Source organism: Homo sapiens, chromosome 6 (assembly GCF_000001405.40).
Source record: "Homo sapiens chromosome 6, GRCh38.p14 Primary Assembly".
NCBI classification, from domain to species: Eukaryota; Metazoa; Chordata; class Mammalia; order Primates; family Hominidae; genus Homo; species Homo sapiens.
In genome coordinates this window covers 6,063,147-6,077,652 of record NC_000006.12, presented here as the reverse complement: position 1 = coordinate 6,077,652, position 14,506 = coordinate 6,063,147, and positions in this window count along the sequence as shown.

Below are 14,506 nucleotides of genomic sequence, written 5' to 3'. Positions count from 1 at the left end.
AAATGTCATTGGTATTCTGATAGGAATTGCATTGAATATGTAGATTGCTTTGGCCATATGGAGATTTTAACAATATTGATTCTTCCAACCCACAAACATGGAATATCTTTCCAATTTTTGTGTCCTCTTCAATTTCTTTCATTAGTGTTTTATATTTTTCACTGGAGAAATCTTTCACTTATTTACTTAAGTTAATTCCTAGGTATTTAATGTTATGTGTGGCTATTATAAAGGGGATTACTTTTTTATTTCTTTTTCAGATTGTTCACTGTTGGCATATATTAATAGAAATGCTACTGAATTTTGTATATTGATTTTGTATCCTGCAACTTTACTGAATTTGTTGATCAGTTCTAATAGTTTTTTGGTGGAGTCTTTAGGTTTTTAATACAAGATCATATCATCTGCAAGCAAGGATAACTTGATAACGTTCTTTCCAGCTTGAATGCCCTTTATTTATTTCTCTTGTCTGATTGCTCTAGCTAGGACTTCCTAGCTAGGACCATGTTGAAGAACAGTGGAGGAAGTAGGCATCTTTGACATGTTCCAGATGTTGATGAAAAGGCTTTCAGCTTTTCCCCATTCAGTATGAGACTAGCTATGGGCCTTGTCATCTACAGCTTTTATTATGTTGAGGTATGTTCCTTTTAAAGCCAGTTTTTGGAGGAAGTTTTTATCATGAAGGAATATTAAGTTTTATCAAATGCTTTCTCAGCATCGATAATTCTCATGTGGTTTTTTCCTTCATTCTGTTGATATAATGTATCACACTGATTGATTTGCATGTGTAGAACCATCCTTGCATCCCAGGGATAAATCCCTCTTGGTCATAATAAATGCTCTTTTTAGTATATTGTTAAATTAGCTTTGCTAGTACTTTGTTGAGGATTTTTGCATCAATATTCATTAGTGATACTGGCCTACAGTTTTCTTTTTTTTTTTTAACTGTCTTTGGTTTTGGTAATCAGGGTTCAGTCTCATTACTTGTATCATCCTAAGGAAATTCCTTTATTTTCTACTTTATTAAATGTTTTATCTTGCATGGCTGTTGAATTTTAATAAGTGTTTTTTCTAGACCTTTTGAGATGATCATATAATTACTTATTTAATCTGCTTATCAGGTAAATTACATTAATAGATGTATTATTTCAAAATGTATTACTATGATATATTATGTTAGATTATTGTATTATGTTAGATCATTCATCCATTCCTTGATTTCGAGTGCCATTATTTTATTTAGGATTTTTCTTTCTATCTTGAGGAGGAAAGAGATAACTGTGTATAATTTTCCTTATTAGCAGGGCCCTTGACCAATTTTTGTAACGAGTTAATACCACCCTCATAAAAGGAATGAAGAGCTTACCTTCTATTTTATTCTCTAGAACACATTATATAAGAATTGTAGTTCCTTAATATTGGATGGAAATAATTAATCAAATAGTTTGAGCCGCTGTTTCGGGGGAACCTTTTTTTACTATCTATTCCATTTTTAAAAATAATTGAACTATCTAGATTTTCTGTGCCTCCTTAAATCTGTTTTGAGGAGTTACATGTTTCCAGGAAATTGTTTGTTTTTACTAAGCTTTCAGATTTCTTGGCAAAAATCCTGTGATTTTTTTTTTTTTTTTATCAGTGTATATAGTTCTATACCCTTAAAGCGCCTTTTTTATTTCTAATGTCATTTTTGGTGACTTCACTAACCTGAAAGTTTTCTCTCTTTTATTAAGGGTTTTTTTTTTTTCTTTCACAGAAATAGTTTCCAGTAGAGTTTTTCTTCTCTAGGGACTATTTTCTATTTCTTTAATTTCTGTTCTTATCCTTATCATTTTATTCTTTAGATTAACTCTTGTCTTTTCTCAATTTTTTGAGTGTATACTTGTGCATTTTCTTATTCTTTCTCTTTTAAACTATGTACATTTAAGGATATGATTTCTTTTCTAAATATACTACTTTATCTATAACCTTAAAATTTTGATATGTAGATATTATGTTGCCATTCATTTCTAAAGATTTTCTAGTTTTCATTGTGACTTCTATTGACTCAAATATATTAGAAGAGTGGCTTTGATTGTCTAAATATAAAGGATGATATCTTTCTTTTACTGATTTCTAAGTTTATTACATTGATATGACAAAATGTTATCAACAGATATCTGTATGATATCAATTTCTTGGCATATTTTGAAACTTGCTTTACAGCTTATTAAATACCCAGTTTTATTGTAAATATTTCCTGTGTGCCTAAAAATAACGTTAATTCCCTAAATGTTGGATACAGTATTCTGTAAATGTAATTAAAATCTTTCATATGTTTTTCCATTATTTGTGAGTGAATTATTCCTTTCTTTTGAATAATGGCCATCTTTATCTCAAATAATGCTTTTTGCCCTGAAATCCATTTTGTCTGGTAATATTTCTGAACCGGCTTTCTTATGATTAGCATTTATCTGAAATAGTTTTTATCCTTTATTTATCAAAGTTTTTTATTAAGTTTTATGTATGTGTATTTTGTAAACAGCATGTAGCTGGATTTAGTGGGCTTTTTTTTCTTAACCTAATCTAAGACTATCTGGCTTTAATAAATCTTTTATCTTTTAGTTCCACATTTTTGTAATTACTGCCTAGTTTTAACTTATTTCCTGTTATCTTATTTTGTGTTTTTTATTGAACTGTGGGTTTTTTCTTTTTTGCTTATTTTCTTAATGTAATTTATTGAATACTGTACTGAAAGTAAAAAACAGAATTGTTGTATGCGTACTTGAAGTAGTTTCTACTGAAGGTGCATCACTTTTACACCACCATAAAGTCAAAAAACCACTGAGTTGAACCATTGTAAGTTGATGATTGATTATACTCAACAGTGTTATATGACTAATGACTGCCAGATTAGATAGTGTAGCTATATTAATGCTGTTTTCTTATTTTCTGTATTCTTTTTCAATACACAATAATTGTACATATTTGGGGATAGAAGAATGATGGTTTCCAGAGGCTGGAAAGGGTAGGGGGAAAAGGAGGATGAAGAGAGGATCGTTAATGGGCAGGAAACTACAGTCAGATAGAACCAGTAAGTCCTGGAGTTTGATAGCATAGTAGGGTGATTATAGTTTATAAAACTTTCTGCATTCTTGATGTTTTGACATCTGAGACCTTGATGACCCTGGAGACTAGCTAATTCCTAGAGAAAGCAAAGGACTTGCCTGTGAGCATATGTATTAGATGCAAGCAAACCAGTTAAGAGCTCATACCCCCACTTCCTTCTTTTGTGGCTCTCATGCTTGGGTCACTAATCCCTATGCCCTAATCACTCTAGAACCAGGTCCCTGACAACTAGAAACAGCCCCTGCAGCCTAGAGCCCAGGGAAATTATTTAAGCTATTCCACCATAATCCTGCTCAGCCTGCTTACCTTGTCTTCCCCAACTCTTCCCATGAAAACCACAATAAAGAGTCCCACCAGCACTGCTCACTCACCCCCACCAGCTCACACTACCTCAGTGCTTCCTCAAGTGGCCTGCATAACTTATGATGCCTCCTGTTTCTAGAGCACTCTGACCATAATAAAAACTTCTTCCTTCATAGCAAGCATGTTCATGTCTGCATGTTTTTCATACCTGATTAAAACAAATCCCAGGTATCATTAAAACAGCAGCTCTAAACACCCATATGTAGACGTTTTATGATTACTCCTCGATTTCACTATTTCACTTAAAAAATTCCAAAAAGTGCAATTTCTGGACAAGGAATATACAAATATTGCATTTTTTTACTTATTGCCAAGTTGGGCTCCAGAAATTTGTGTTAATTTAAACTTCCACAGCAGTGACTGATGGTACCATTTCCCCATGATTGTGACCTTTAATTGGGAGAAAAAAACAACAAGCAACTCAAGTACCATTGGAAAACAAAATTTGGTAGCCAGGATATATTGCTTAAGTTAAAGATTATATTTTCCCCAATTAAAAATTAATGCATTCCAAGTCATTGAAAATATTAACAAAGAAGAAATCAGTTATAATCCAACAACCCCGAGACACCTGCTGTTATTGTGTTTCTGTCTTTCCATATTTATATCCTATCCCTTATTTACATTTAAATAAAAATGCTGTCATACCATTAAGAAACTCAAATCATGAACAAGTAAATGCACAGCACAGGTACAAAGAGAATAAAAATTATAATAGAACACAATGTACAATTCTGTTTAAAATATTAAGATCACAATAAAATAGACCATTTTATGCAAATGTAGACGCTGCCAAAATTGCTTGTGAAGAAGTTGCAGCTTGATGCAGTGGTCATGCTTGCTATCCCAGCACTTTGGAAGGCTGAGGCAGGCAGATCACGAGGTCAGGAGATTGAGACCATCCTGGCTAACATGGTGAAACCCTGTCTCTAGTAAAAATACAAAAAAGTATCCAGGAGTGGTGTCACATGCCTGTAGTCCCAGCTACACTGGAGGCTGGGGCAGAATTGTTTGAACCCAGGAGCAGAGGTTGAAGTGAGCTGAGACTCCAGCCTGAGTGACAGAGTGAGAATACATCTCAGAAGAAGAAGGAGGAGGAGGAGGAGGAGGAGGACGAGGAGGAGAAGAACTAGTTGTTGCAACTGGCATGGATTAGTAACTTTGGAAAAATAGGAGAAAGAGAAGTATCTACCCCAAAGCCTCCAGGTTTGAAATGTTTTACAAATAAGTTACTCAGACTTTTAGAAAATAAAATTCCCAACCTATATAAACAGTTTTGAAACTCAGAAAAGGAAGGAGGAAGTCGCTTCCAAGATGGCCAAATAGGAACACCTCCGGTCTACAGCTCCCAGCGAGATCAATGCAGAAGACGGGAGATTTCTGCATTTCCAACTGAGGTAACTCGTTCATCTCATTGGGACTGGTTGGACAATGGTTGCAGCCCACAGAGGGTGAGCTGAAGTAGGGTGGGGCATCTCCTCACCCAGGAAGTGCAAGGGGTCGGGGGATTTACTTTTCCTAGCCAAGGAAAGCCATGAATGACTGTACCTGGAGGAACAGTACACTTCTGCCAAAATACTGTGCTTTTCCTACAGTCTTCACAACCAGCAGACCAGGAGATTCCCTCCTGTGCCTGGCTCAGCAGGTCCCACACCAACAGAGCCTTGCTCACTGCTAGTGCAGCAGTCTGAGATCACCCTGGGATGCTGGAGCTTGGCAGGGAGAGGGGCGTCTGCCATTGCTGAGGTGGGAGTAGGCGGTTCTAAGCTCACAGTGTAAACAAAGTGGCAGGGAAGCTCGAACTGGGTGGAGCCCACCACAGCTCAGCAAGGCCTACTGCCTCTCTAGATTCCAACTCTGGGGGCAGGGCATATCTGAACAAATGGCAGCAGACAGCTTCTTCAGACTTAAATATCCCTGCCTGACAGCTCTGAAGAGAGCAGTGGTTCTCCCAGCACAGTGTTCAAGCTCTGAAAACAGACAGACTGCCTCCTCAAGTGGGTCCCTGACCCCCGTGTACCCTGATTGGGAGACACTTCCCAGTAGGGGCCAACAGACACCTCATACAGGCTGGTGCCCCTCTGGGATGAAGCTTACAGAGGAAGGATCAGGCAGCAATATTTGCTGTTCTGCTGCCTCCGCTAGTGATACCCAGACAAACAGTGTCTGGAGTGGACCTCCAGCAAACTCCAACAGATCTGTAGCTGAGGTGCCTGCCTGTTAGAAGGAGAACTAACAAACAGAAAGGAATATCATCAACATCAACAAACAGGATAGCCACACCAAAACCCCATCCATAGGCCACCAACATCAAAGGCCAAAGGTAGACAAAACCACAAAGTTGGGAAGAAACCAGAGCAGAAAGGCTGAAAATTCCAAAAACCAGAATGTTTCTTCTCCTCCAAAGGAATGCAACCCCTCGTCAGCAATTGAACAAAACTGGAGGGAGAATGAGTTTGATGAATTGACAGAAGTAGGCTTCAGAAGTTGGGTAATAACAAACTTCTCTGAGCTAAAGGAGCATGTTCTAACCCATCACAAGGAAGCTAAAAACCTTGAAAAAAGGTTAGATGAATGGATAACTAGAATAACCAGTGTAGAGATGAGCTTAAAACACTTGATAGAGCTGAAAACCACAGTTCGAAAACTTCATGAAGCATACACAAGCTTCAATAGCAGATTAGATCAAGCAGAAGAAAGGATATCAGTGATTGAAGATCAAATTAATAAAATAAAGTGAGAAGACAAGATTAGAGAAAAAAGGGTGAAAATAAATGAACAAAGCTTCCAAGAAATATGGGACTATGTGAAAAGACCAAATCTACATTTTGATTGGTGTACCTGAAAGTGACGGGGAGAATGGAACCAAGTTAGAAAAAACTCTTCAGGATATTATCCAGGAGAACTTCCCCAACCTAGCAAGACAGGCCAAAATTCAAATTCAGGAAATACAAAGAACACCACAAAGATACTCCTCAAGAAGAGCAACTCCAAGACACATAACTGTCAGATTCACCAAGGTTGAAATGAAGGAAAATATGTTAAGGGCAGACAGAAAAGTCCGGTTACCCACGAAAAGAAGCCCATCAGAGTAACAGCAGATCTCTCTGCAGAAACCCTACAAGTCAGAAGAGAGTGGGGGCCAATATTCCACATTATTAAAGAAAAGAATTTTCAGCCGAGAATTTCATATCCAGCCAAACTAAGCTTCATAAGTGAAGGAGAAATAAAATCCTTTACAGGCAAGCAAATGCTGAGAGATTTAGTCACCACCAGGCCTGCCTTACAAGAGCTCCTGAACAAAGCACTAAACATGGAAAGGAATAACTGGTACCAGCCATTGCAAAAACATACCAAATTGTGGAGACCATTGACACTATGAAGAAACTGCATCAATTAATGGGCAAAATAACTAGCTAGCATCACAAATGACAGGATCAAATTCACACATAACAATATTAACCTTAAATGTAAATGGGCTAAATGCCCTAATTAAATGACACAGGCAAATTGGATAAAGAGTCAAGACCCATCAGGGTGCTGTATACAGGAGACCCATCTCATGTGCAAAGACACACATAGTCTCAAAATAAAGGGATGGAGAAAGAACTACCAAGCAAATGGAAAGCAAAAAAAGGCAGGGGTTGCAATCCTGGTCTCTAATAAAACAGACTTTAAACCAACAAAGATCAAAAGAGACAAAGAAGGCCATTACATAATGGTAAAGGGATCAATTCAACAAGAAGAGCTAACTATCCTAAATATATATGCATCCAATACAGGAGCACCCAGATTTATACAGCAAGTTCTTAGAGACCTACAAAGAGACTTAGACTCCCACACAATAATAATGGGAAGCTTTAACACCCCACAGTCAATATTAGACAGATCAATGAGACAGAAAATTAACAAGGATATTCAGGACTTGAACTCAGCTCTGGACCAAGTGGACCTAATAGACATTTACAGAACTCTCCACCCCAAATCAACAGAATATACATTCTTCTCAGCATCACGTCACACTTATTCTAAAATTGACCACATTATTGGAAGTAAAACACTCCTCAGCAAGTGTAAAAGAATAGAAATCAAATCAAACTGTCTCTCAGACCACGGTGCAATCAAATTAGAACTGAATATTAAGAAACTTACTCAAAACCACAAAACTACAGGGAAACTGAACAACCTGCTCCTCAATGACTACTGGGTACATGATGAAATGAAGGCAGAAATAAAGGTGTTCTTTGAAACAAGGAGAACAGAGACACAATATACCAGAATCTCCAGGACACATTTAAAGCAGTATGTAGAGGGAAATTTATAGCACTAAATGCCCACAAGAGAAAGCAGGAAAGATCTAAAATCGACACCCTAACAACACAACTGAAAGAACTAGAGGGCCAGGCATGGTGGCTCATGCCTCTAATCCCAGCACTTTGGGAGGCCAAGGCGGGCAGATCATGAGGTCAGGAGATCGAAACCATTCTGACTACCAAGGAGAAACCCCATCTCTATTAAAAAAATACAAAAAATTAGCCAGATGTGGTGGTGGACACCTGTAGTCCCAGCTACTCGGGAGGCTGAGGCAGGAGAATGGTGTGAACCTGGGAGACCAAGCTTGCAGTGAGCCGAGATAGTGCCACTGCACTCCAGCCTAGGTGACAGAGCAAGACTGCATCTCAAAAAAAAAAAAAAAAAAAAAAAAAGAACTAGAGAAGAGCAAACAAATTCAAAAGCTAGCAGAAGACAAGAAATAACTAAGATTAGAGCAGAACTGAAGGAAATAGAGACATGAAAAACCTTTCAAAAAATTAAAGAGTCCAGGAGGTTATTTTTTGAAATGATGAACAAAATAGACAGCTAGCAAGACTAATAAAGAAGAAAATAGAGAATAATCAAATAGATGCAATAAAAATGATAAAAGGGATATCACCACCGATCCCACAGAAATACAAACTACCACCAGAGAATACTATAAACACCTCTATGCAAATAAACTAGAAAATCTAGAAGAAATGGATAAATTCCTGGACACATACACTCTCCCAAGACTAAACCAGGAAGAAGTTGAATCTCTGAATAGACCAATAACAGGTTCTGAAAGTGAGACAATACTTAATAGCCTAGCAACAAAAAAAAGTCCAGAACCAGAGGGATTCATGGCCAAATTCTACCAGAGGTACAAAGAGGAGCTGGTACCCTTCCTTCTGAAACTATTCCAATCAATAGAAAAAGAGGGGCCGGGCGCGGTGGCTCACGCCTGTAATCCCAGCACTTTGGGAGGCCGAGGCGGGCGGATCACGAGGTCAGGAGATCGAGACCATCCTGGCTAAAACGGTGAAACCCCGTCTCTACTAAAAATACAAAAAATTAGCCGGGCGTAGTGGCGGGCGCCTGTAGTCCCAGCTACTTGGGAGGCTGAGGCAGGAGAATGGCGTGAACCCGGGAGGCGGAGCTTGCAGTGAGCCGAGATCCCGCCACTGCACTCCAGCCTGGGCGACAGAGCGAGACTCCGTCTCAAAAAAAAAAAAAATAAATAAAAAAAAAAAAAAAAAAAAAAAAAAGAAAAGAAAAAGAGGGAATCCTCACTTGTTGGGAACAGGCCCCCAAATATGGCCATAACTGGCCCCAAAACTGGCCATAAACAAAATCTCTGCAACACTGTCACATGTTCATGATGGCCATGATGCCCACACTAAAGGTTGTGGGTTTACCAGAATGAGGGCAAGGAACACCTGGCCCACCCAGGGCAGATAACCGCTTAAGGCATTCCTAAGCCACAAACAATAGCATGAGCGATCTGTGCCTCAAGGACATGTTCCTGCTGCAGATAACTAGCCAGAGCACATCCCTTTGTTTCGGCCCATCCCTTTGTTTCCCGTTTTAGTTAATCTGTAATCTATAGAAATAATGCTTATCACTGGCTTGCTGTCAATAAATATGTGGGTAAAACTCGGTTCATGGCTTTCAGCTCTGAAGGCTGTGAGTCCCCTGATTTCCTACTCCACATGCTATATTTCTGTGTGTGGGTCCTCTAGCGCCGCTGGGTTAGGGTCTCCACAACCAAGCTGGTCTTGGCAAGTGGCACTGAACGTGGGGCTCAAACCCAGGTTAAAGGGTCACTGGAGCGATGGTTAGAGAACATGGAACTAAGCTGGAGGACACCTGAGTACTCTTAAGCAATCCCCATGGTGAGTAAGAAGGGGAGCTTGGAAGAATCAGGGTAACAATGGGACAAGTGTGGGCTCTGGTTCATTCCACCTTGGAACCTTTTCACACCGATGATGAGTAAGAAGGAAAGTATAACACAGTAACAGAAGAGGTGGCAGAGCAGGTTTGTTGGCCAGCTAAAGCTAAAGCAGCAAAGGAGGAAGAGGTTCATCCCTACCCTTCTGCACCCCCTCATTATTTTGAAGAAAAAGAGTGGCCTGACTCTCCAGATCTTTCTTTTCCAGAGAACACTGGGCAAAAAGTAGTTGCCCCAGTGACTGTTCAAGCAGCGCATTGAGCTACTGCTCTCAGTTCTATTAAGGCAGGAATCCAGCAAGCTAGATGAGAGGGTGATATGGATTCTTGGGAGTTCCCTGTTAGGATACACCCCCCAGATCAACAGAGAAATATTATAGCTACATATGAGCCTTTTCCTTTTAAATTACTCAAAGAATTTAAGCAAGCTATTAATCAATATGGACCAATTTCTCCTTTTTTAATGGGACTGTTAAAGAATGTTGCTGTCTCCAGTCAGATATTGCCAGCAAGAATGATAGGATTACTTCTAGGTAGGTCTAGTTTAAATTTGAAAGGAGTACAAGTACAAACAGGAGTCATTGATTCAGATTATAATAGGGACATTCAAATTGTTATATATACTTATGTTCCCTGGAAAGCAGAGCCAGGAGAGCGTATAGCACAGCTCCTGATTGTGCCATTCATGGAAATGTGGAAAAGTGAAATTAAACGAACAGGTGAATTTGAAAGCACAAATAAGCAAGGCAAAGCAGCTTACTGGGTGAATCAAATTACTGATAAATGTCCTACCTGTGAAATAACTATTCAGGGAAAGAAATTTAAAGATTTGGTAGATACAGGAGTGGACATTTCAATCATTTCTCTACAGCACTGGCTGTCCACATGGCCAATTCAACATACTCAATTTAACATAGTTGGAGTTGGTAAAGCCCCTGAAGTATATCAAAGTAGTTATATTTTGCATTGTGACAACCTGGGACTATTCAACCAATTATAACTTCTGTGCCTATAAATTTATGGGGAAGATATTTATTATAACAGTGGAAAGCACAAGTTCTAATTCCAGAGCAATTAAATAACCCTCAAAGTCAACATATGATGCATGAAATGGGGTCTGTCCCTGGTATGGGACTAGGAAAAAATTTGCAAGATTTGAAGGAACCACTTCAAGTGGAAAGACAAAGTTCCCGCCAAGGTTTAGGATATCATTTTTGATTGTGGCCGTTGTTAAGCCTCCAGAACCTATAGCTTTACAATGGTTAAAAGAATAAGCCAATTTGGATAGAACAATGGCCACTGAGTAAAGAGAAACTGGAGGCTTTAGAGGACTTAGTTACCGAACAACTAGAAAAAAGACACATAACCCCAACATTTTCCCCCTGGAATTCTCCAGTCTTTGTTATTAAGAAAAAATCAGGTAAATGGAGAATGTTGACAGATCTTAGAGTCATTAATTCAGTTATACAACCTATGGGGACATTGCAGCCAGGACTGCCTTCTCCTGCTATGATTCCAAAAAAATGGCCTTTAATAGTCATAGATTTAAAAGAATGTTTCTTTCCTATCCCTTTAGCTGAGCAAGACTATGGATGGTTTGCATTTACAATTACTGCAGTAAACAACCTGCAGCCTGCTAAGCATTTTCACTGGAAAGTGTTGCCACAAGGCATATTAAATAGTCCAACAATTTGCCAGACTTATGTAGGGCAAACAATTGAACCTACTCTTAAAAAATTTTCACAGTGCTACATTATTCATTATATGGATGATATACTTTGTGCTGCCCCCACTTGAGAAATATTACTCCAATGTTATGATCACTTATAAAATTTGATTTCTCACATTGGTTTAATTATAGCTCCTGACAAAATTCAAACTACTACTCCTTACTCCTACTTGGGGACCTTAGTAAATGACACTACCATTGTGCCACAGAAAGTAGCCATATGTAGGGGTCAATTGAAGACATTAAATGACTTTCAAAAATTACTAGGGGACATTAATTGGATATGACCTACTCTAGGAATTCCTACCTATGCCATGAGTAATCTATTTTCTATCCTTAAAGAGATCCTAGTCTCACTAGCCCTCAGCAATTAACAAAAGAAGCTGAGGCAGAGCTGCAGCTGTCAAAAAGCAAGCCCATAAAGCTAAAATAAGTAGAATAGATCCAGAGAAGACTTGAGATTTGCTAATTTTTTCAACTCATCATTCACCTACTGGTGTTATTGTTCAAGAGCAAGATCTTGTAGAGTGGCTTTCTCTTCCACATACTTATTCATGGGCTCTAACTCCTTATTTGGATCAAATTGCTACTATGATAGGAAATGGGAGGACACGGATTGTTAAATTGCATGGATATGATCCAGGAAAAATTATTGTCCCTTTCATGAAGGCACAAATACAGCGAGCTTTTATAAATAGTCTTACTTGGCAAACTGATTTAGCTGACTTTGTGGATATTCTCGATAATCATTTTCCTAAAACAAAACTGTTTCAATTTTTGAAATTAACTAATTGGATTCTCCCTAAAATAACTAAATTTAAACCAATTGAAGGTGCTGAGAATGTTTGTACCGATGGGTCTAGTAATGGTAAACCTTCTTATTCTGGCTCGATAGGTAAAGTTTTTCAGATGCCCTATACTTCAGCTCAAAAAGTGGAGCTTGTAGCTGTAATTGATATATTGACTGCTTTTAATATGCCTATTAATGTGATTTCTGATTCTTCATATGTGGTTCATTCTACACAGTTAGTTGAAAATGCTCAGTTATGATTTCATACAGATGAATAACTGATGACTTTATTTATTTATTTACCCAATTGCAAACAGCAGTTAGGAGTAGAATGCACCCTTTTTACATTACTCATATTAGGGCTCATACATCTCTTCCAGGACCTTGACTGCAGGGAATCAAATAGCTGATCGCCTAGTTGTTACTGCAATATCTAATGCTAGACATTTTCACAACTTAACCCATGGCACATGTATAGCTATGTAACAAACCTGCACATTGTGCACATGTACCCTAGAACTTAAAGCATAATGATAAAAAAAAGAAAAAGAAAAGGAAGGAGGAGATAAGACAAAAGGTTTCAAAAGCAAAAGACTCAAGAAGCTATAAATAGATAAACTTTGATTGTGGACTGCATCATTATTATCCTCCTTACATATGTGCTGTCACTGTTATTCTATACAATTTACTCATGAAGATGTCATAGATTTTTGAGCTTATTCTCTCAAAATCACATTCTATTTATTAGGCTGAAAGGTTTTTTTTAACTCTTTCTGACAGCCTTCTCATCACTCTTGAGGACTGAGTACTACTCAGACACAAACTTGGCTTTCTAAGACAGTCTACTCTTTGCAGGCTATAATAGGTGTGTCACACAGCATACTGAGGAAGATATTTAAAATATGGCTTTTGTTGGAAATTTATATTCATTCCCAAATTTATATTCAAATTTATATTCATTCCGAAAACCTTCTATGCCTTCTCTCCCATCATAGTAGAAATTTAGTGATTATTTTTTCTTTCTTGTTTTCAAAAGCGCAGGGTAGTTAAAATATTCAGTTTAATATATTTAAGAATTATTAATCAAGATTATTTTTCCATTTCTTTCCTTTTTTAAAAAAATCAGATTGTTTCATAAAATTTCCTATGCACTGTGTAATGATTTACTTTAGTTATATGACAATTGCCTGAAGAACAAGATTGCTTATCTCCTCTCACAATGTCATTTGCCTAACTCAAACATCATTTGCACCTAGTAGGTAAAATGTGGCACCAGTGCTTCATGGAATCAATGATCTTAAAATGTCTATTATAAGAAATAATTACATTCTACTGACTTAAAATCATTCATAAATGCCCATAGATGATAGACTGGATAAAGAAAATGTGGTACATATATGCAATGGAATATTGTGCAGCCATAAAAGGAATGAGATCATGTCCTTTGCAAGGACATGGATGGAGCTGGAAGCCGTTATCCTCAGCAAACTAACACAGGAACAGAAAACCAAACACCGCATGTTCTTATTTATAAGTGGGAACTGATTGATGAGAACACATGGACACACGGCAGGGAACAACACACACTGGGGCCTGTTGGTGGGCTGGGTCAGGGGAAGGAGAAGATCTGGAAAAATTGCTAATGAATGCTGGGCTTAATACTCAGGTGACGTGTTGATCTGTGCAGCACAGCACCATGGTACATGTTTACCTATGTAGCTAACCTGCACATATTACACATGTACCCCGGAACTTAAATTAAAAATTAAGGGAAAAAAATCATTCATTATGCTAGACAGAATGATAGTCTTCTATAAAAGATAAATTGTCTCTGGGTATTAGAAGGGAAAATATAATAATGGATGAATTATCTACCTCTCCAAAAAATCCTTAAAAATTAGATTGGTTTTACTTCAAAAGCTTTTTTTATAAAGTTAATATCCTATCTTGAAATTTTTAAATAATCTTATCTTTTATGCATATAACAAATGCTTAGTCTATTAATGGCTTGATGTTATGATAACATATGCTCTTTGAAATCAAGAGATGAAAGACATTTAGCAGAGCACATTTTTATTATATTTCATTATTTTTGCATATAATGCTGTAATGACCACATCTGCTAAGAATTTTTTGAGACACCAAAAATAAAATATAAAAATAATAAGAAGGTGTTCTGAAGAGCTAAGCAGCATTCTTCTTTGTTTTTTCCTACCTAACAATAAATTGGGAGATCATCCTATGCTGGTACATATGTCTACTCATTCTTTTTA